Source organism: Homo sapiens, chromosome 4 (genome assembly GCF_000001405.40).
Source record: "Homo sapiens chromosome 4, GRCh38.p14 Primary Assembly".
Lineage (NCBI taxonomy): Eukaryota > Metazoa > Chordata > Mammalia > Primates > Hominidae > Homo > Homo sapiens.
In genome coordinates, this window is record NC_000004.12 from 60,479,027 (window position 1) to 60,503,881 (window position 24,855).

Sequence of the window (24,855 nt, forward strand, 5' to 3'; positions counted from 1 at the left end):
TTGATATTTTTTGAAAAAAACTTGGATTTATAAATGTTCTTTATTCATTGCATAAACATCACAATATTCCTAAATTATATGAGTTAATACAATTTTTTAAAGTTCAACTAATTTTCAAGAAACATTGTCATGCCTACTAAAAGATTCATTTCTTAAAAGTGAAATTAAATGACCATGAACTTTAGATAAATGGAAAACCAAAAATTTACTATTTGATTGTCACCTCTTATCCATTTCTGATCTCTATGTAGTTTTTAGGATTTGCTGATTTAATCTGGAAGTTTTCGATAATCAATATAGGAAAAAAGTAGAAATTCATTTTTTTAGCATACTTTTCAAAATAAAGATAAAATAAGGTAACCAATCAGTTATACAAAGATGCAAATAACTTCATCTATAAGGGTATTCAATATCTGTTTGCCTTTGCATATTTAATGAATGTCAGACTCAGATAATTGAAATAATTATGGTTCTCAGGTTGGCACTTTTTTTCATATGTCTATTTGCAGGCCCTATCTTGTTTAATTTATCAAAATATTCCAATCCTTCCCAATTGTTATAACCTCAAATGCTATCATCCTGGCTCCAACTATCATTTCTCACATGGGTTAATGTGTTATAGAGCATCCCTTAGGGCTCTGAGCTGGCCATGCACTGCAATCCTGGAATGTCCTCCCACATATGCTAACAAATAGCTCATTGAATTTCTTCAAGGCTTTGCTCAAATGTTTAGCTCTCAACATCAAAAATTTTACTTTGCAGCTGGGCACAGTGGCCCATGCCTGTAATCCCAGCACTTTGGGAGGCTGAGGCAGGTGGTTCACTAGAGGTCAGGAGTTCGAGACCAGCCTGGCCAACATGGTAAAACCCCATGTCTACTAAAAATACAAAAATTAGCTGGGCATGGTGGCACATGCCTGTAATCCCAGCTAGTCAGGAGGCTGAGGAAGGAGAATTGCTTGAACCTGGGAGGCAGAGGTTGCAGTGAGCCGAGATTGCATCATTGCACTCCGGCCTGGGTGATGGAGCAAGGCTCCATCTAAAAAAAAATTTACTTTGCAATCCACCTCTGACAAAACTGCTTATTTTGCTCTATCTTTTAGTATAAGACATTGTTAACTTTCTATATAACTTACATCGTTTGTGTCTATTATCTGTTGACTTTCAGCCAACCTTGTTTGCCCCTTAATTTTTAGTTATGTTAAAATGCCTAGAATGTCTAACCCACAATAGGCATACTAGAGTGAATGAATGAAGCTTTCACCTTATGCCAATCATGTATTTTACCAAGTCTTCTGGTTCACTTTTTTATCTACAGATATATCAGTGTGACACCATCAATATAAAAGACAAATATGATGCTCTCTTACTTCCAAAATCATTCTACAATGCCTTATTCTGTGGGGAACTATATATATAATTTAACTTTTAACTTCTTACTCTTTCCATAATTTTATCCTAAATAATGCCTGGCCTTCATTCAATCACACAGTTTTACCCAAAGCTTTTTCTTTTTCCTTTTTTTTTATTATTATTATACTTTAAGTTTTAGGGTACATGTGCACAATGTGCAGGTTAGTTACATATGTAAACATGTGCCATGCTGGTGTGCTGCACACATTAACTCGTCATTTAGCATTAGGTATATCTCCTAATGCTATCCCTCCCCCCTCCTCCCCCACAACAGTCCCCAGAGTGTGTTGTTCCCCTTCCTGTGTCCATGTGTTCTCATTGTTCAATTCCCACCTATGAGTGAAAGCATGTGGTGTTTGGTTTTTTGTCCTTGCGATAGTTTACTGAGAATGATGATTTCCAATTTCACCCATGTCCCTACAAAGGACATGAACTCATCATTTTGTATGGCTGCATAGTATTCCATGGTATATATGTGCCACATTTTCTTAATCCAGTCTATCATTGTTGGACATTTGGGTTGGTTCCAAGTCTTTGCTATTGTGAATAGTGCTGCAATAAACATATGTGTGCATGTGTCTTTATAGCAGCATGATTTATAGTCCTTTGGGTATATACCCAGTAATGGGATGGCTGGGTCAAATGGTATTTCTAGTTCTAGATCCCTGAGGAATCGCCACACCAACTTCCACAATGGTTGAACTAGTTTACAGCCCCACCAACAGTGTAAAAGTGTTCCTATTTCTCCACATCCTCTCCAGCACCTGCTGTTTCCTGACTTTTTAATGATTGCCATTCTAACTGGTGTGAGATGGTATCTCACTGTGGTTTTGATTTGCATTTCTCTGATGGCCAGTGATGGTGAGCATTTTTGCATGTGTTTTTTGGCTGCATAAATGTCTTCTTTTGAGGAGTGTCTGTTCATGTCCTTTGCCCACTTTTTGATGGGTTTGTTTGTTTTTTTCTTGTAAATTTGTTTGAGTTCATTGTAGATTCTGGATATTAGCCCTTTGTCAGATGAGTAGGTTGCGAAAATTTTCTCCCATTTTGTGGGTTGCCTGTTCACTCTGATGGTAGTTTCTTTCGCTGTGCAGAAGCTCTTTAGTTTAATTAGATCCCATTTGTCAATTGTGGCTTTTGTTGCCATTGCTACCCAAACTTTTTCAAATGGAAGGTGCTTTCACTTGCATAACCCACAAAACTTCCCATTATACTTATGTATCATCCTCATCAGAGTCTGTCATAAGGTCATATATGAGATGGGATCTTCCTTATTTCACATTGTGTCTTCCAGACCATTTTTTTCTTCAATAATAAGAAAAGCCCAGATCCTTTATGGTGCATGCATTTATTGAAGTCATACCTATGCAACAAATTATAAGTACTAAGCATTATGATCAGAATTGTATACACATTATAGTTCATGAAACACATATATACCACATCCCATTTTCTCTCTTTATTTACATTTACTAAACTTTGCTTATTCACCATCATTCCTTGAAGTATTAATGTCTTCTATGAGCCTATTCATTATTCAGAGTGAGCTTTAAAACCAGACAAAAATATATACACACCTAAATTATGTGTTTTCTGGGCTAGTTCCTATCTGCTATAGACTGAATGTTTATGTCCCCACAACATTCACTTGTTGAAACCTAATCCTCAATGTGATGGTATTTGGATGTGGGGCCTTTGTGAAGTGATTGGGTAATGAGGGTGGAGATCATATCAGTGAGATTATTGCATTTATAAAAGAGACCCCAAATAGCTGCCTAGCTCCTTATATCGTGTGATGACACAAGAAGAAGATGACAGTCTATCAACCAGGAAGTGGGACCTCACCTGACACAAAATCTGCTGGTGCCTTGACCTTTCTAGACTCCAGAATGGTAAGAAATAATTTACTATTGTCTATAAGCCACCTAGTTTATGGCATGTGGTTATAGTCACTCAGATAAACCAAGATCAGGCGCCAGGTGACGGGCACAGCCTGGAAGAGTTTTGACTTACATGCTGAAAGTGTCTACATGGCCATGAATGAAACTTTAAGATACTTCTCAAGAGAACTCAAAAAGAAAAGGAGAAATTACAGAGAATGCCTCAATATTTTAAGAGAATACCTAAGTAATCTTGAACAGATGTTCATATAAATATGGATAGTAAAGGGCATTCTGATGAGAACTCAGAATGCAAAGGAATGTTTTTGGAAACTGAAGAAAGATCATCGTTATTATAATGTAGCAAATAACTTGGCAGAATTGGTTTTGTTTCATATTTTTTGTGGAAAGTAGAACTTGTGAGTGATGAAATTGGATATCTGGCTGAGGAAAGTTCTCACTCAAGTGTTGAAAGAGCAGCATGATTCTTCCTGATTGCTTATAATAAAATGCAAGAAGACAGAAATGACATAAGGACAATGATTTTAATCAAAATGGAAGCAGAATGTAAAGACTGGGAAAACTGAAAACTCTCAGTATATTCATATTATAATGAACGAGAAAGCCTCTTTGGGAAAGAACACTAAGGGTGTGGGCAAGTGACTGTTTAATAAGGAGATTAGTGTGGATCAACCATCTAAACAGAAGCCAGGAGCTATTATCCAGGACAATGGAATAATTACCCTGAAAGCAATTTAAGGATTATTAGGACTAACTCTCTTATCACAGGCTCAAAGCGTAAGGGCCTTCAGGGAAGAGTGGTTTCAAAGGAGAGACTGTCAGAGTCTGTGGGACCTCAGTTTGCCTCAATGCCTTGCTCTCTGGCATTACACACAGCTGCCCCAGGTAAAGTTTAGGTGGGCCCTCATGTAGCACAGGCTGCATTGGCCACCTCTCTGAAAGGCACAGACAGAAAACTTTGGTGGTATCTGCATGTTGCCAACTCCACAAGCTCACAGATAATAAAAGCCCCGGGAGCAGAGTTGCCTCCACTTAGATTTCAAAGGATGAGACTTAAGTCCCCCAGAGCCAGTGTGTGATCTTCACCCCAGTGGTCCTGCAGGGCAGAACATTGAGCTAGAAAGGATAATGTGTTAAGGTCTAATGAAATTTGCCCCATTCAGTTTCAAACTTACTTAAGAGCTGTCACTCCTTTTTCTTTTCTCTCTTTTGGAAAAGTAATGTCTATCCTATGCCTGCCCCACTATTATATTTTGGAAGCAAATAATGCATTTGATTTCACAGGTTCAAGACTGTAAAGGAATTACTTCAGGATGAATCATACATTAAGTGTCATCAACATCTAATTTAGATAATATTTAGATGAGATTTTGGACTTTCTACTTTTCAGTTAATGTTAAAATGAGTTAAGACGTGGGGCTGTTGAGATGGAATGAATGTATTTTGCCTGTAAGAAGGACATAAATTTTGGGGGAACAGGAGTATGATACCATAGGCTGAATGTTTTTATACATTCAAAATTCATATATTGATTTCTAATGTGATGGTATTTGGAGGTGGGATCTTTGAGAGTTGCTTAGGTGATAAGAGTGGAACCCTCATGAATGACATTAGTGTCATTATAAAAGAGACCCCAGGAAGATCTGTTGCCCTTTCTGCCATGTGAAGTTACAGTGAGACGGGGGCAGTTTATTAACCAGAAAGCAGACCCTCACCAGACACCAAATCTGCTTGTGCCTTGATTTTGGACTTCACAAGCCTCCAGGACTGCAATAAATAAATTTCCCTTATTTATAAGCCACTGGTTTATGGCCTGAACAGACTGACATGTAAAATATGTGATTATTTAATAATACTTTCATTTGCTCCACAATACAAGTCATCATCTTGTATCTATCAGACCTATCCTGCTCTTACATTCTATTTATCCAGCACACGTTCTCCAATCCTTTGCTTTAACTAATGAGTACTTAATTTTCTAAACTCACCCATGTCTTTCCATCACATAACATCTTAACTTTGCATAATTGTATATGTTATCATGTCCTCTCTCTATACATATGCAACTAAAAGCTGCTGAGGAACATAATAATAATAGATAGCATTAGTAGAATGTTTACCCTATACCGTTGCTAACATGTTAATTTTAGCACCAATGCTAAGTGCTAACATATGCTAATTTTATAATTCTAACAATCATACAAAGCATGAACTACAACCAACCCATTTAAAACAGGTGTAAAGTGAAGGTAAAAAGAGCTTAAATAATTTAATAAAGATCAGTTGACTATTAAGTGGTACAACTAGGATTAAAATCCAGTCAGTCTGGGTCAATTGTCTGTACTTTTAACTGCTACAAGCTACCAACTCCTATTGAGGAAAAAAAAAAAAATCACACACCCATACTAACTGTAGATATAGCATTTCAACATCTTTAACTTCAACTGGATCTTTCACATTGCCAGGCAGTCCATCTATTTGTAACCAATTTTTCAAAAAATTTACTGTCTGGGACTAGTTCTCTAAGTCAAAAATTTTCAATGCACACTCGTAATATGCAAAGGTTTCTATTTTTTGTAGTTACAAATGTTTTATTTCAGTAAATAATAATGAAGTTCTACACAGAATGATAAAAATTCTGATAGTCATTGTAAGCTCCCTTCCTCATTTCTGGCTTATATCTAGATGGAAGCCTGAAGTAAGAAATGGAAAAAAAAAAAATGCCTCTTCTTTATTTCATTAGTTCTCATTACCTTTCCTTGTAAGTTTCCAGCGGTGGTTTGTAGAAGTTCTGGCTCAGAAAAGGAATAGACAGAAAAAGTATCGTGCTGAAGAATGACTTTACGTGCTTCTTACTACCCTGATATGCCATTGGTGCTCTCTTGATTTGGAATGTGTTCAAAAATATTTTATGGTGATCTGTTAGTTTGTTAGAGACACTCTATTCCTAGGTATTTCTCATCTGCCTTCTTTAATATGGACAAAGTGTCATCTGCTTGGCCTCTTTTGATATACTCCCAGTGTCTGATTTTTGGTGGTCCACTCGCATGCTCTGTAGAGATCTCCGATCAATTAGAAAGCCGTGTGGGCAAAGTACCTTCAAGATAACTCCTGAATGACTCATTCCCTCTTGGCTCATTTCTAACCCAAAGAAAATGCATATGCTTTTAAAAAAATCCCAACAAGTTCTGGTGTAGACTAATTCTAATGTAGGCTCTCCTTTCTCTACCATCAGAGAAGCAAAACAGACACTGCCATTCTTTTCTGTGATACATGAATCAAGCAGTAGCTCCCACTGTTTCTCACTTTAGGAGACACACACTAACCTCTCCAACTAATCTTAATGAAGCCCATCACTATCAGTCTTTAGCTTTCTTTCTTTTATATTTTTAAGAGAGCGTATGAGCTAAAGACCATAACATTCTTTAAAATTTTTTTTCTTGCAATACCTACAGAAGTTTTCTAACATCTCCAAATAAGATTCACTATAAACTGACCTCTGTTATTTTGTACTTAGACTTCTAGATCTTTAGAAAATAGAGAGAAAAAAAATTTATTTTAATATCTCTTTCAAATACGTTTTGTTTTCTGACTTATACTTTTCTTCTCCCTGAAGAATTTCTTCTAATATTTTTTGGAGAGAAAGTCACCTGGCGATGTATTCAGTTTCTGTTTATCTGAGAAAGTATTTATTTCTGCTTTACTGCTAAAGGATAATTTCAGTGAATATAGAATTCCAGATTAGTGGTGTTTTTTTTTTCTTTCAACACCTTAAATATTTTACACCACTCTATTACTAGATATTCTTAGATGCAGTATTTTTTTATTGTTGTTGTTTTCCCTCCATGTTTGGTGTTCTCTGAGCTTTCTGGATCTGTGTTCTGTGTCTGCTATTGATTTTAGGAGTTCTTGACCATTATTTCATTAATTATTCCTTCTCCATTTCTTTCTCTTTGGTATTCCAAGTAGGTATATTTCATGATTTTGAAATAGTTCCACAGTGTTTTGGTGTTCTGTTCTTTCAATTATTATCATTCATTATCTCTTTGCATATAAGTTTGGAAAATTGCTTTTCACCTAATTTCAATTTCAATAATTTTTCATTAGCCACATCGAGTTTACTCATGAATCCAAAGAAGATATTCTTCATTTCTGTTATGGAGTTTTTCATTACTAACACTTTTTTTTAATTCTTAGACTGTGTATATTTCTGCTTCCATTACTCATTTTTTTCATGCATGTTGTTTATTTTCTCCATTAGAGCCATTAATATATTAATCAGTTATTCTAAATTCCATCAACTAATTCTGATACCTCTGTCGTATCTAAGTCTGCTTAAGATGATTACTTCCTGTTTTTAGATTGTGTTCATCTTGCCTTTGAGTATATTTGTATTCTTTTGTTGATAGCCAGACCTGTTGCATTGGGCCATAGAAACTGAGGTGTATAACCTTTAGTGTTAAGACTTACGACAATATGAATAGGAGGTGGGTTATGTTTCATATCTGTTATATTTGAAGATGCCAGAAATTTCAAATTCCTTTAAGTTCCTTGTTTTCCACTCTTCTTTAAACTTTGGACTTCATTAAGTACTCTTCTGAAAAAATGCCTGCCTCTTGGAAGTCTTTAAGTTATAATCTACTGTTCCTATACTGGACTCCTGTTGATATGGTGGTCAAGTGTTGGTGGGAGGGACATTCTATAGTCTTATGGTTAAATCTCAGTTTTTTAATGAGTGACCTATTACTCCTGGTTGTAAACTTTACAACAGTTGCTCCAGTGACATGCAAGTTGGTATTCCTAATTTGAAAATAAAAAATTTAAAAAAAATCCAATCTGTGATGGTTAATACTGAGTGTCAACTTGATTGGATTGAAGGATGCAAAATATTGTTCCTGGGTGTGTCTGTGAGGGTGTTGCCAAAGGAAATTAATATGTGAGTCAGTGAACTGGGAAAGGCAGACACACCCTTAATCTGGGTGGGTACAATCTAATCAGCACTCAGCCTGGCTAGAAAATAAGCAGGCAGAAAAATGTGAAAAGAGAGACTGGCCTAGCCTCCCAGCCTACATCTTTCTCCTGTGCTGGATGCTTCCTGCCTTCGAACATTGGACTCCAGTTTGGGAACTCAGACTGGCTCTCCTTGCTCCTCAGCCTGCAGATGGCCTACTGCGAGACCTTGTGATCACGGAAGTTAATATAACTCCCCTTTATATATATGTCTATTCCATTAGTTCTGTCCCTCTAGAGGGAGTGTGAACCCTGACCAATACACAATCCAAAACACTTCTAGTCAAAGCATTTCAGATAAGGGATATTCAACCTGTATCTTTTTCTCTCTCTTCCTTCCATGAGACAGAAAGGCTAGAGGGGGCTAAGAAGGAAGAAGTGCCTTTCTGCAAAGTGTGATAAAACTTTGAAGACCTTTTTCCCTGGAAAGAAGTCCTTTTATGAAAAATACTCTAGACATATTTCACAATGATTGTTCTTCCTCTCTTCCAGACGGAGCCACAAGGGATTTTTTTGTTGGATCACCACTTTAACAATCTGATGGAATTTGTGGAGTTAAAACCCACAGAAGTATGGTAATCTATTTAAGACTGATGCCAGCGGTTTCTCATTCTCATGTTATTCCATACTCAGTCTCCTATCATTCACTAAAATTATGTAAAAGTTTCTACCAGTTTATTACTCCTATGGCTTCTGCTCCAGGTAGGCAGATTTTTAGCTGTGACTCGGTTAAATTGTCTCTCCAGATTTCAGGCTGGAAGTTTGCCCTGCAACCTCAGCTCTCTCCTAAGTTGAAAAAAGTAATTGAATTTCATTTTGTTCTGTTTTCTGGTGGTTAAAAGGATGTGTGTGACAACTCTCAAGCTCTTTAATTGTTGATGGTAGGAGTCTATTTTCATTTCTTCTATTTACAATGTAAATTTGAATTTTGGATTCACTTTCCAGAGATACTGATTTGCACCTAGCTTATTGTTACCAGTTTTCATTTATTCACACTTTTCTTCTATTTATTTATTCATTTACTCCATGTTGCTGAGCACATATCACATGCTGAGTGGTGTTCTAAATTCTGGTGTTCAAAGATAAATTATATATATACTTAACAAGTTATAGAAATTAAAATACTCAATAAATAACTTACTCAAGAAGGGCAAGGCAACAGTTACTTAAATATTTGCATGTTCACCTTTTAGTTTACTGTAAAAGTATTCATTTTACTAAAAAAGACTTATTTGTATAAACCTTTTATAAAAGCTTATTTATTACATAAAAGGTTATAAAAGCATATGCATAAAATTCAATATAACCCCACCCATCAACTAATTCAAATTTTTCCATGCTAGTACGTTGGTTGAACTTTTTAATTTTATTGTGTATGAAGAGATAACTTACTATACAATTTAATAATACAAGCAGTTTTTTAAAAAATTTAATTTTTTTATTTTACTTTAAGTTCTGGGATGCATATGCAGAAGATGCATGTTTATTATATAGGTACAAGCAGAATTATTAACATAAAACTTCTAAAGAGACAAACATATTTAAAAGCTATTGTTTGAGTGTATAATGTTATGTTAATTTTTATGTGAATCTTAACTATATTCATGAAGTATGGTGAAAAATGTACTGGAATCCTATTCAAATATTCACCATTTGCTAAGTTTCTGAGTGTAAACAGGTTCAACACGGGACTGTCAGAGATTCCTTATACATTGTTTGTGGATGTATAATTCAGGAAACTGCTTTGAAGTATAATTTCATGATGTTTAATACAGCAAAAGATGCATATGCCTACCATCAAACAAACCCATTGTTAAAGGAACTTTCACACCAGTATGCAATCCATCGTAGGGGCTAAGACCCTTGACCCCGGAAGTTGTACTAAAAAATCAACTGGCAAAAGGCACGTTAATTGGAGAAAAGGCTTACAAATTTATTTATCATGTATACATGGGAAGCTTCAGAATGAAGATCTAAAGGTACAGGGGAAATTGTCCATTTTTACGCTTAGTTTTGACAAAGTATTGGCAACTTCTGTTGAAGTATAATTTGACAGAAAGGGTACAGTCTAATGCTAATCAAGTGTGGAAACCCAGCAAGCCCTCTCTGTCTAGGTCCTTCTTGGCCTTTCTGAATATGCATTCCTTCCTCTGGGTATGGGCATGACCATCACTGGAATGGTGGTAATATGACCCACACTCAAAGAAGGTAGGTCAGATAATTTATTTATGGCCAGTTATCACACAGAATATTTTTAGGCTTTATGGCTGGCTTTCAAGACAAGGGGTCCTCTGGTTTCTATGACCTGCACTGGGGAAGGACCCTAATGCTCTGACTAGCTTTGGGGAAGAATGGGAATGAAAGAGAGGAGGGCAGAAGAAAGTCAGAGGTAAAACTTTTGCCTGTGAGGTTGCTTCTGAGGCCTTCATTTTGGGTATTGTTTTCTGAGCCACAGAATTTTATATATATGCATTGTTTACAATAGCTAAAAAAAAAAAAAGAAACCTAAGGTTCATCAGGAGGAGAAAGGTTAAATATATTGCTATATATTCATCATTTTAACACCATATAACAGATATCGCAATAATAAAGTTACGTAACTATGTATGAATATAGATAAATGTCAATAACAGAATACTGAGGAAAAGAAGCAAGTTAAAAATGACATGAAATTTGATATTATTTATATGATGATAAGTTATGTACAAAATAATGGTATATTTTAAGTGACATATGTAAGTAGTATTTATACTTTTATAAATACTGCATTCAGGATAGTGGTTGCCTCTGTAGAGGAGGTAGGAGCCTGGGGGTTGGGAAGAGTAGAAGTGTGATACTTTATTTGTTGTACTACTGGTGAGTCAAGAATGTTTCATGTGTCACTTTGTAAGTCTATTTTTATATTTCTATAAAAATAAATAAAATGGCAAAAATTACAAGTTCTCTGAGTATTAGCTTCTTCATCTATAAAAATTGTTCTATTCACTTTACTTGGTTTTTCTGAGTAATTAACTGGGTAATGTATGATGAAATAATTAAATATTTTTAAATTTAAAGTGTTATATTAATTTGTATAAACATATGTACACAAAGAAAATGTATTTCTCTATAAACATAGAAATACAAATTTAAAGACTAGAATTTTTCCTTAGAGTCTCAGAGTACTATTAAGTGTCAAATTTTGTAAGTAGTTTTGTTACTTCAGTGGCTAGGTTTTAAGAAGATTTTACATTAATAGTTTAATAGAAATTTTTTAATTATTCTAGAACCTTAAATTCAACATGAATAAAAGTGAATTTTCTTGTTCTCTTCATAAATGCATCATGGGCATTTATCGTACTAAACTAAAAATTGTTTATTATATCTATCACAATTTCCTAATTTTTCCTTTGATTCAATGAGAGTAATTTATTTTAGAATTGTATTATTTTGTTTTACTTTGAACAGCGCAAGCTTTCAATTCCTATCAATATGCATCAGATTATACGAAAACACAAGTTGACCGATAGTCAAAGAGAAATAAAATAATATTTTTCAGAACCAAGAAATCTGGTAATGTAGTTAATTTTTACAATTTTCCGTGTAGATCGTAATAAATCCATTGCAAATTAAAAATTACTCATTGGCTTATGGATCAACAAATATTTTTCTACATTGTTTAAACAAGGGGCAGGGAGAAATGACAATATCTTTTTGTCCAAGAAACCCTACTTAATTTCCTAGATACAGGGACATTTTCTCAGCCTGCCTTTAAGGATCTCAAATTTGTTAGAAGAATGCTTTAATAATTAATATGGGTCCATTAAAGACTAACTTATTTTTTCTTTCTTTTCATTGATTCTCAAATTTATGTCAGGCAATCTACAATAGTAATGATTAAAAGCGGGTTTACTACCACCTTGGATTCATAAAATTAGGCTATTGTGCTAGAGGGAAATATAAAGCTAAGGACATGGAGGAAGTGGATACAAAGCTTATAGAACTTTAAATAATAGAGCAAGATATTTTAAAAATTATTAGATTCAACAGCTTTCTTTGCTACTTAAAGTCGTAGAAGTTGTTTATCAAAGAACAATGGATTTTCTTTAATTCTATTTTTGGATAGATTCTGTTATGGCTGGCGAAGAATGTTGCAGGAAATTATCTACTACCACTGCTATGTCTATTGCAGTTGCTGTCATATTTAATTCTTGATAAGCATGTAATTAAATAGTGTCATTACCACATCAAATAGAAATAAGACAAGATGATTCAATGTTGGAAAGTACATGCACACACAAATAGAAAGCACAAAGTTAACCTCCTGGTGGAGACTCGCTGCCAGATATTTAGCAAGAGTAATCTTGCAGAGTAAAGACCTCAAGAGCACCAGACGTTAAGATCTTTTCTATTCAGCACATTGGAAAGCATAATTATTACCAACCCTTTGCTATTAAAACATCATCAAATTATGTTTATAGAATATTATTCACTGAGAACTTCATAGCAGTTTCCCAACAATAACCCTGACCATATTAATGCATAGGGAATATTAGTATTGACTCCTTCGAACCAATAAAAAGCCAATGTAATAAATTATGACTCCAGAGTGAGCAAAATAACCCTTACTGGCCATATGATGTTAACATAGCCATAAAATATTTCCTTCCTACTCAGCAGTACATACTGGACCACATACCATGAGGAAAATAAAAGTTAGAAATTCCTTTATAGAATAAAACAAACATAGAAATACATGAGCACCTTACATTTTCCCCATGTTTTTGGTTTATATAAATATTTTAACACATGAGCATATTAAGAAAATATCCACTGTGCATGGTATTGACTAATTTAATCATCACAGCGAAACTTCAAGAAATGTATAAATAACCCCTATCAATTAAAAAGAAAAAAAGAAAAAAGAGACTTAGAGTAAATAACTTGTCTAAAGTCATATTGCTGCAAGTGAAAAAGCCAGGTTTGCCTTATCATCTTTTTGGTTTTGTTAATTTATTGTTGTTTTGTTGTTATTTTTATTGGACATTGGGACTGTTTCTTCATTGATCTTGTTTGACAGGGAATCTCTTAGCCATTTTAACTGAGTCAGAGAGAAATATATTTGTAGGGAATTGATACACAGAACAAAGCTACTGATTTAGACTGAATCCTGCCCCATAAAGTACATGTGGGTGAAAATGTGAAGGAGATGGGAACCTTGGTGGAAAATGAAGAGTAGCTCAAGGTTTATAAACTGATTTTTCAAGGAGTGGAATATTGGGATCTGGGAGACATACAGCCTAGGTACTGATGATAGTCTTGTCTTCTTGTATAAGATTGGGATATAGGGAAAGACCTGGGTTAGTGATAAAAACTGGTCTCAGCCTTGGTGCACTCATATCCATGGCCTCTTTAGTCCAAGATCTACAATATGGGCCCTGTCTGAAGTCTATTTCCTTGTTAAAATTGCAGCATTCCATTCTTATAATTTTCTTCTGTTATTTTCTATATAGAATGTTCAGTTTTTAATCCATTTAGTACTTTTGAAGTTTCAACTTACAAAGAAATAAAACTTTGCCTCATTAATTGCCTAAAATGATGCTATCTTTAAACACAGGGAAGTCTTCATAGCATAATAATAGGAAGGCCATTTGTACTGCTTGAAATATATATTATTGGTCATTATTAAAAAAATTAGCTACTAATTAAGAAAATATTAGCTCACTATTGTTTTGTTTCTGTAGCTTCTTTAAAAAAATCTCAAAGTTATAGATAAAACAATATTAAACATAAAGGAAAAATAATATCAGAGATTTATACTTGGTTAATAGAGTTTTTAGTTATTATATATGTCATGAAAATATACATCACTAAAAAATAATATCTAATGTATACAACTTTTATAATTAATAATATTAAGTTATCCAGTGAATTTTAATTAAACATTACCTCCAAACTTTTCCCTTGAGATTAGATGGTACATGGAGTTTACAATTACTGTGAAAGCATAGTTATGGAGAAAAAACAGTAAAGATATAAATACTGTGGTACTGTTTTATCACATTATATATGTTCATGACTCAAAGAATAAACAGATAATGTTGATCTCTCACCCTGGATACCTATAAGGAAGTTTTACCCCAATTTAGTTAACTGTATAATAGTAATAATTTAAAAGAGCTTTTTGTTAATCAGAAAAGAAAAACAGTACATCCAATATGAGGAAATATAATTCCTTCAGGAATGAATGTATGTCCTTCCTTTAAAATGTCAAGTGAAATTAAAACAAAAAAAAATGTAACACAGAAAGAAAAATTTCTCTGTTAAAACACCAAAGTCTAATTTTTAGAATACAGACTTTTGTTTTAAAGTATTTAATCTTGAATAGCAATTATATTCCTTAATTAAATTTAGGTGATGGAGATTACTTTGTTGCTTCTGGGTATTATTCTTGTTGGCAAATGGAGAAAGAGGAGAATAACTAATATGTCTGAAACATTTACAAAGCCTACTTCTCAAACTATTCCAAATGAAATTCTAAAATTAGTAACTTTAAATACTGTATACACGTATGTTTTTTTCAAAACGATTTTGGGGTCCCTATTCTTGTGGATTGATTTTCCCACTAAGTACATATGTGTGACCTATGAATGACGGCATGTACAATCTAGACTTACAGAACTATTACAATGTAGATTGACACTTAGTATGTTGACATAGACTAGGCAGTTTTCAAAAAATATAACCTGTAAATTAGTAAATTAGAATATGCGATGATTAAAAAGCTGTTGAGATTTAGATTTGTGTTATAAAACAACAATGGGAAGGAATTTTACCTTGAGAATCCGGTTAGATAACATGAATGATCTCAGTGAAATTATAGAAGGTAAATGGAAGCTGAACTAGATAGTCTGTAGGTTGTCAGCACTGAAATTCTGCTATACTATGATATCATGCGAGAAGCACAAGTTAAAACAAATGGAGGAATAAAAAGAGATTACACCACAGCAGCCAAGATTGGAGAGAGAATATGCAAGTCACAAGAAGCATTGTGATATTATTGAAAACATATCGTATCGAGGACTCTAGAAACCTGGTACTTATTAATGGCTACGTCATGATCTTATGGTCTTGCAAACATTTTCCCACTTAACGTAGAAAAGGGATTGGAATTTATCATCTTGGATTAGAAATGCCAGTAGAGTTAAACTAAAATGAAATGCTAAATAACTACTTTAGGCATAGTATGTACGCGTGTGTCTGTGTATACGTGTGCACACGCATGCACACATAAATTTAGTGTAATAAGTGTGATATTTTAAGGTTTATGCTTTATATACATACATAACAGAGTTTTTTAGACGTGGCTTTCTTTAGCTCTTTAAATATATTTAAAATTAATTATTTGAAGTTCTTATCTAGTAAGTCTAACACCTGGGCCACCTCAGAGAAAATTTCTATTGATTGCTTTTTTCCTGTGTATGAGTCACACATTCTTGTTTCTTTGCATGCTCCTTAACATTTTTGTTGAAAACTGGTCATTCTGATTATTATTATGTGCCAAATTTAGAAATGAAATTCTTTCCCAGGATTTGTTGTTGATACACTTGTTTTAATTCTTTGTTTAATATCTTTTCTGAACAAATTTTGTAAAGTCTTTACTCTTTGTCATGTGGCGTCACTAGAGTCATTTCCATTAGCTTAATGATCGCCTAATGATTAGACAGACATTTTCTTAGTAGCTGAAACCAGAAAATTTATGTTTTTCCAGAGGATTCTGTATATGTTGGGGCACACCTTCACCACACAAGCAGGAAGGTTAAAATCCTAAATTAATCATCTTTCTGCTTGCACAGAGCCTCAAGATTGGCCAAAGGTTGTTGAGTTTAGTGTCTTTTCATGTATTTCCTGATCATGCACACAGTCTTGGGCACACACACAACCCTCTAGATTCAAGGAGCATGTGAAAGCTTTTCAAATTCCTTATTCCCCAAAGCATCCCATTCTTCACCTTTTCTCCCAAGCTTTTTGGTTAGTATTGATACGGCTCCCATGACTGGAGGAACATCAGGGTCCTTTGTCTCGCGTCAGTTTAAATAAAAGACATGTACACACCTGGAGTGGTTTTAAGGAGCAGAGAGAGTTTAATAGGCAAGATAGAAGGAAGAGGCTCCCGTGTACAGAGACAGAGGGAGGAGGACTCCAAGTAGAGAGAGGGAACCCTTAGTGTGGAGGAAAACATTGGTTATATTAGGAGGCTGGAGGAGGTGGTGTCTGATTTGCATAGGGCCCAGGGGATTGGTTTGACCAGGTATGTCATTCACATAGCCCGAGAAAAAACTGCCCCCCACCCTAGCCTTTTAATATGCAAAGACAGGGCATGAGGACGTTCTACATGCATGGGGACATGTAGGGGAAGCCATGATGCTAGGCACATGTGGTGACAAGAAGAAGGTAGGAATTGCCATATTGGATGGACCCAGTTTCTAATGGCCTCCATTTGTATGTCAAAGCTTGCTGGCCTGGCCCTTCAAGCCATTTTTCTGCTAGACAAGAAACGTTTCTGGAGCTGCTTTAAAAGAAAACAAACAAACAAACAAACAAAAAAACCGTACCAAGGACCCCTCATCCTCTCTATCTGCCTAAAATAATTTTTAAATGACTCCTGTAATAGTATATTGTTTGCCCCAATTGCTACTTCTTGCCTCAGTAACTAAAACGTCTGCCTGCCTGCCTGCGCATATTTTCAACAAACGCCATTCTCCACTCCTCAGATAATGAGTTTAGCACACGGTAAATAAAGACAAATAAAGAGAAATAAATCAGGCAAAATAAAGACAGGGCTTTTGAGTAGATTTTTTTCTGGAAGTCAATAGAAAGATCAGAGAAGGACAATTATTCAAAAATAAGGTGTATTTTGCTCCCTCCACAACTGCTACCAAAAATGTTTTCTGTTATTTTAAAGTCTACTGCTGAGCTGAGAAAGAAACTAAGGTAAGTTAAAATGCCACAGGTCTTACTGTTCCTGCAGAGATTAAGCCATTTTTCTTGAATGAGCACTTTCCAGATTGCTGCAAGCTTTCAGTTGCATAATTCCAAAACAGTTAATTCTAGGCATTTTTGCTATTTTTTCATTGCGTTTTAGAGGGGGAGTCATTTGCATGCATTTCCTCACTCTGCGATTTTCACTGACACCTTTTTTTTTTTCTTATTTTCAAATGTGGCTCAAAGTTTGCCAACAGAGAAGATACTTAAAATGTTATTTGCCCCCTTCTTTGTGTTTTGAAATACAATGTGTTTTGAAATTTCTAAAAGACATTTATTATATGCAATTGGTTCATGCACTTATGGAGGCTGAGAAGTCCCACGATCTGCCATCTGCAAGCTGTAGACCCCAGAAAGCCAGCAGTGTGGCTCCACTTTGAATTTGAAGGCCTGAGAACTCAGACAACTGATGGACTAAGTTGTAGTCCAAGTTCAGTGGCCTAAGAATCAGAGAGAAAACAGTGTAAATTCTAGTCTAAGGCCTGAGGGCCAAAGGTGTCAATGGAATAAGTCCCAAATCAAGGACGGGTGAAGATTGATGTCCTAGCTCAGTCAGGCAGAGAAACAGTTAATCCCCCCTTCACATTTTTGTTCTTTTCAGGCCCTTAAGAGATTGGATGGGCTGGGCGTGGTGGCTCACGCCTGTAATCCCAGCACTTTGGGAGGCCGAGACGGGCAGATCACAAGATCAGGAGATCGAGACGATCCTGGCTAACACGGTGAAACCCCGTCTCTACTAAACAAAATATAAAAAATTAGCTGGGCGTGGTGGCAGGCGCCTGTAGTCCCAGGTACTCGGGAGGCTGAGGCAGGAGAATGGCGTGAACCCGGGAGGCGGAGATTGCAGTGAGCCGAGAGCGCGCCACTGCACTACAGCCTGGGCAACAGAGCGAGACTCTGTCTCAAAAAAAAAAAAAAAAAAAAAAAGATATTGGATGATTCTAACCTGCTTTACACAGACTATCAATTTAAATGCAAATCGCATCCAAAACACCCTCACAGACACATCCAGAAATGTTTCACCAAAAATCTGGGCATCACATAATCTGGTCAGTTTGACATATAAAATTAGCTATCACCGATAGTGCTGCACTTTATAATCGGATTAACTGGATAAATAGCAATGTTATTAATCAAAGGAAGAAAAGATGGATGAGTAACATATTTGGATGGTAGAGAAGGAAATTCATGATATTCTTTTGGGACATAAGAGTTTCTTTTGGAACATCACCTAGCAGAGAGAGTCCAAATCTGGACATGGACATGTAATCATTGAAGTGAGGTTGAAGGAATAGTCCACTGAATGAGAGCGAATGAAGTGCTGCCTAATTTACTTTTATTTTGTCTGACACAAAACTACCAATTCTCTCCAAACAATCTTGTCTTGATTTCCACAGCCCTCATAAAATAACTCAATTTCTCAATTTCTCCATAAAATAATAACTCAATTTCTCCAGTTAATGTGATGACAAACATAAACTTATTTTTACTCTTTTCTTTCTTCACATTCCACAGCCAATCTGTTAGAAAATTTTGTTGTTTCCACTTTTTAAAATATGTCTCAAAATTGAACCCATCTCAACACCTCCACTAATATTATCTTGGTCCTATCACCCTGCCCCATTATTCTCTTTTATATTATTGTAATAGCCTTTTTACTGTTTTCCCTACTACTATATTTACCCCTTTCAAATAAAAGTATTCTCAACACAGCACCAAAGTCATAACACACAATTTTCTATGCATGACCCTCTAACAAACTAACTACATCTCATTGTGAATGATACTCCATGAAGATACTCCATGAAGCAGCCTCCGGTGATGTTACTGATCTTGCCTCACTCTGTCTGCCCTCACTCCTACTGGTTCATCCATGTTTCTTACTGTTCTTGAAAAGCATAGCGATGCTCTGACCCCTTGTTCTTTGCGTTTGAAAATGTCTTTGCCTTAATTTCTACATGGCTTAGTTCTTCACCTTCTTTAGCTATTTTGCCAAATGTTATATGTTCACATATTTAAATTTGCAATTTTTTACCATACCTTTACAATTCCTAAATTGCTTCTCTATTTTATTCAATATACTATTACCAGCAATGAATCCACATCCATACAGGTCTGCAACAATCTCAGTTCTTTCCTCCTCAGAAGAAATAATGCACCCATGGGGAAGAAGGCAGAAGGAGAGACTGAAGCTAGTTTTAGAACAGGAGTGAAAGTTCATTAAAAAGCGCAGTGGCTCACGCCTGTAATCCCAGCACTTTGGGAGGCCAAGGTGGGCAGATCACAAGGTCAGGAGATCGAGACCATCCTGGCTAACACGGTGAAACCCTGTCTCTACTAAAAATACAAAAAATTAGCCAGGCGTGGTGGGATGAACCCGGGAAGCGGAGCTTGCAGTGAGCCAAGATTGCACCATTGCACTCCAGCCTGGGTGACAGAGTGAGACTCCGTCTCAAAAAAAAAAAAAAAAAAGCTTTATCATAGGAAAAAAAGGAAGTAAAGTACACTAGGAAGAGGGTCAAGCAGAAGACTTGGGAGATGAAGTGCATGGTTTGACCTTTTGACTTGGAGTTTTATACTCTGGCATGTTTCTGGGGTCTTGCATTACTTCTCCCCTGATTGTTACCTTGGAATGGGCTGTCCACACGCACAGTGGCCTGCTAGCACTTGGGAGGAAAGCATACGGAGTGTGATTACTGGAGTTGCACGCATGCTCACTTGAGGTGTTCTTCCCTTATCAGTGGAATGGTCCTGGAAGGTCATATACCATTTAAACTTTGCCATTTTGCCTCTGAATGTGCATACTTCAGCCCACCTGCCCAGCTCTTGAGATCTTACCAGGAAGCTGCTGATCACCAATTTCAGATGTTTCTATCTATTGGGAGACTGCCTTTCACTGGCACCAGCTGCAACCAATTATTATTTTAGCAAGACAGTTGAAAACTGCCTAACTATCACCTGATGGTCACCTGACGTTTCTGGTAGGGTCGGAGGAGGGGGGTGCCTCTCCTGTCCTGCTCATGCCTAACTTGCTACCTACTGTAACAGTACTTTTCAGCATCTTGACTATATCAGTTTTCTAGGGCTGCCGCAACAAATAACCACAAACTTGGTGGCTTGAAACAACAGAAAATTAACCTTTCACACTTCCAGAGGCCAGAAATCCAAAATCAAAGTGTCAGCAGAATTGGTCCCTTCTGGAGGTTATGAGGGACAACTTGTTGTCCGCCTATGTCCTAGCTTCTAGGGGCTATTGTCAACCCTTGGCATTGGGTCTATATAACTCTTATTTCTGCTTTCGTATTCACATGGCTGCTTTCTTTCTGTGATTCTATTTTCCCATCTTCTTGAAAAAACAACTGACATTGAATTTTGCACCCCCTCCCCCTACCCAAAAAAATCCAACATGATGTCATGTGGAAATTTTAAACTTAATTACATCTACAAAGACCCCCTCCTCAAAATAAGGTCACATTCACAGGTACCTGGGGTTACAACTTGGAGATATCTTTAGTGTGGAGTAGACATAAGTCAACTCATTATTTCACATAGTATGCATTTATTTATTTGTTAATTCTGTTTCCTTCCACTAGAACATCAAGTGCATGACAACAAGGATTCTATGCGTTTTAATTATATTTGTGACTTGACCAATTTCTGACACACAACGAAAGCTTAAAAAACATATGTTGAATAAATATAAGAAAATGTGGAAAGTGCATAGGGATTATCAACATAATTAGAGCCAAAAGTAGAAAAATCTGGGAAGCCGAATAATTTTTTTTTTTAAGTGGTGCTCCTGAAGTCAAGAGTGTTTGCTTAATTAGGGAGTGGTTTTTAAACTGAAAGAGGCATGAAAAGAGGCCTCCTGGTGATTTGCGTATCAGAATTGTGTTGGTACCTGTGAAGATCTTCTTATCACTTGGAAACATGCCCAAATCTGACACAGGTTTTGCCTTCGTGTTTTGGTATCTTAATGACTATGTCACTCTCTTGTTAAAAATGATAAAATGAGGCCGAGGCAGGTGGATCACCTGAGGTCAGGGTTTTGAGACCAGCCTGACCAACATGGTGAAACCCCATCTCTACTAAATACAAAAAATTAGCCCAGCATAGTGGCACACGCCTGTCATCCCAGCTACTCGGGAGCCTGAGGCAGGAGAATTGGCTGGACCCAGAAGGCGGAGGTTGCCGTGAGCCAAGATTGTGCCATTCCACTCCAGCCTGGCCAACAAGAGTAAAACTCCTCAAAAAAAAAAAAAAATAAATAAAAAAAAAAGATAAAGCAGATCAGGAAGGAAATAATCTCTGTCACTGTGTTAGAACTTATCAACCCTGTTTTTACTAATATTCTTTTGGAGTCTCTTGCTTCTTACTCCCATTGAATTGTCAGCCTACTGACCCTTATTTGGTGTTTGCAGACTATCGGGCCTATTGAAAGGAAACTAAAATCTCAGGACCCCAAACTCACTATGCCAAAGGGAGAGTTAAACTTGGGAACTCAGTCATGCGAAAACTGTGTTCCTTTTGTTCCCAAACAGATAGTAATTTTACATCCTTTCTCTGTCTTATATAACATGTAGATCTACTGATTGGGAGACAAATGCATAATTCACTCCCTCCCCACAATCCACTCCTTTCTTTTCACATGTAAAATATAGTTTCACTGAGTCCTAACCAGAGCCTCAAAAGAATGTGACTGTTTGCTTCATTGCCTGCTCTCCCCACTTTTTTTTCTTTTCCTCCATTCCCTCCTGCTTGCTATTTCCTGTTTAAATATAGAAGTCCTCACAACCCTCTCTGGAAAAAGCACAGGTCACAGATCCTACTGTGACTTGTGTTTCTTTTTTCCCAGAGCATCCACATCCTTGGCAAAACAAATCTCTAAATCGATTGAGATGCTTCAGTAACTTTTTGTTTTATAGAACCTCTGGGTATACGTGTTATTTACCAGCTCTATCTTTTAAACTGGACAAAAGTTTTCACGCTTATTAAATCTATCTTGCCAATTCCAACCCATAATCATTTTGTGATAATTTGTAACTTTTTTCATTGACCATATCTGAGTAACAAACTTTTAAATAATTCAATGTTTAATTCAATCTATTCCAATCTATTCTTTTAGAAGCATGCAAGTAATTTATAAAATATAAACAACAGCTCTTAGATATGAAAAATAAATGTATAGAGGTGTGTATTTTATTCAATAACTATAATAAAAATTTTTTGTATTGAGCTATAGTGCAATATGACCATAGGGTGCCATTTATAGTTATAGGGCTGTTTTTCTAGTAGAAAAAATGCACAAAATAATGTAAGCATATCAACCGTGATCACAATAAAAATGTGTTTATTATGTGTGAATATGTTTCAGTCATATTACTTTAAAATATTTTCTGATTTAAATTCAATTTTTTATTATGCAACTGGTATATAATCCACATAATTTTCACTTTATGTGGTACAGTTTTCAAATGCAAAGTTATTCAATTCTTGCAAATACTTTCAGCACATACTATGTATACATTATACATTTAGGAAAATAAACTGACTTTTTAGAATTTGGCTGAAATTGTTGTTTTCTAACTTAATATCCATTTAGTGGTAATTTATAATAATCTATTATTACAATGACTTGATCTTAAAAATCTCTCTAGAAATCTGTTATTTTATTCCCTTTTCTTCTGAATTCAGAGTATAGCTCTCCACAAGTAGTGACAGAATCTTCCCATTAAAGATGTATGTGAAAATGGTTTCATGCCATGCTCCTGGTATAGAGAAATTCAGGACATAATCTCATACTAAAGGATAAATACAGTAACCATAAAAGAGAGAACTAAGTAAACCAATATAGAGTTGAAAAATTGCCTCAAAGTCTTGTTGATTTAAATCAATATAATTTTACTTCAGGATATGGAATTTCATTAGAGAAGTTTTAGTTTTTATTTAATTGTGAAAGCCTTCGCAGGTAGGAGAAAGAAACTCAAAACCTGAGTGCAATTGGACTTTTTAAAATCAAAGTGAAGAAAAAGTATATATTATTGGAAAAGCGAAATATAATAAAATTTTATTCAAGTAGATGAAGAAGTTAGAAAACATTGTAATACAAAAAGTCTCAACTAAATTAATGTATCACTTAAAACTGCTTATCTGAGAATGCTTTATAGACCATCCAAAAGTGATTTAAAGTAGAAAAAAAAATTCTCATGCAAATGACCAGAATTCAATATATTGTTTGTTCACTCTTCATAGCATTTATTGGTCTGTGGCAAAACCAATACCAATGGTGTGATGATGAAATAAATTTTAGATATTTTGTTGTTAATACATCTGGATATCTTTGTGAATACCAATTTTGCAAATATTACCATTCTCTGTCTTTTCTTCTTTTTTTCTCTTTCCTTTTTCTTTCTTTTTTCTTCCTGTCCTTCCTTCTTTCCCTCCCTCCTTTCCTTTTTCTTTCTTACCTGCTTACTTGTTTGCTTGATTCTTTCTTTTCTTTTTTTCTTCTTTCCCTCCTTTTTCTCCTCCTTTTTCTTTTCTTTTCTCTTCTCTTTTCTTTTCTTTCTTTCTTCTTTCCCTCCCTCCCTCCTTTCTTTTCTTTCCTTTTTTCTTTTCTTCTTTTCTTTTCTTACTTTTTCTTTCTTTCTCTCTCCCTTTCTTTTCTTTCTTCTTTCTTTCTCTCTCTGTCTTTCTCTCTTCCTTTGTTTCTTTCTTTTCCTTTCTTTTTCTCTTCACAAGCTTTTCCAGAAATAAGTGAAGATGCATGAATACCACTTATACCTTCTGACTTTTCCCCTTTAACCTAAGACAAGACCTCTTAAATTTTGCTTCAATAATTATCAATACTGAGAGCTAAACTTTTCTTCAGAACCATATTTTCAAAAGAGAAAAAAATATTACTGCATTTTAGAAAAATAAAGCCATATTGAGAGACAGAAGCTAGGAGGTCAAATAGGCTCAATAGTTAAGTGATACCTTTCTTCAAATAAGCCTAAGATTGAATTTGCTTCCAATTCACTTCTCAACCATTGTATATGTTACTATATTTTATTAGCCTTCTAGTTGATCAGAAAATTTGGTAGAAGTTTCCAATATTAAACCCATGAATATCAAGGTTCTGCTGTATTAGGTTCAAAATGTGATCCGAATGCCTAACTTGCATAACAGATTTCTGGCTCACCAATCATCCATGCCTAAAACTGTCAAATCATAAATATGAGAATAATACAAAATTATGTAAGTCCATCAAGCTCACCAATGATTAAATGAGTTTTAAAGCAGTAAAATTAGGACAGATTAAGAAAGCTGTAATTCACTTGTACTTCCACTTATTCGAGAGCTGAGGCTGGAGGATTTCTTGAGGTTAGCCAATCAAAACTAGCCTGGGCAACATAGCCAGACCCAATCTCTTTTTTTTTTTTTTTTTTTCTTTTTTTTTTTTGTGACAGAGTCTCGCTCTGTCGTCCAGGCTGGAGTGCAGTGGCGCGATCTCGGCTCACTGCAA

General features: G+C 35.5%; 1 annotated feature.

Annotated features, from left to right (window-relative positions):
• Nucleotides 4,068-4,652: an enhancer, noted in NCBI's record as "OCT4-NANOG hESC enhancer chr4:61348812-61349396 (GRCh37/hg19 assembly coordinates)". NCBI's record gives its function as "activates a minimal SCP1, AML or CMV promoter by ChIP-STARR-seq in naive H9 embryonic stem cells {active_cell/tissue: H9 hESC(naive)}" and the evidence as "EXISTENCE:reporter gene assay evidence [ECO:0000049][PMID:30033119]".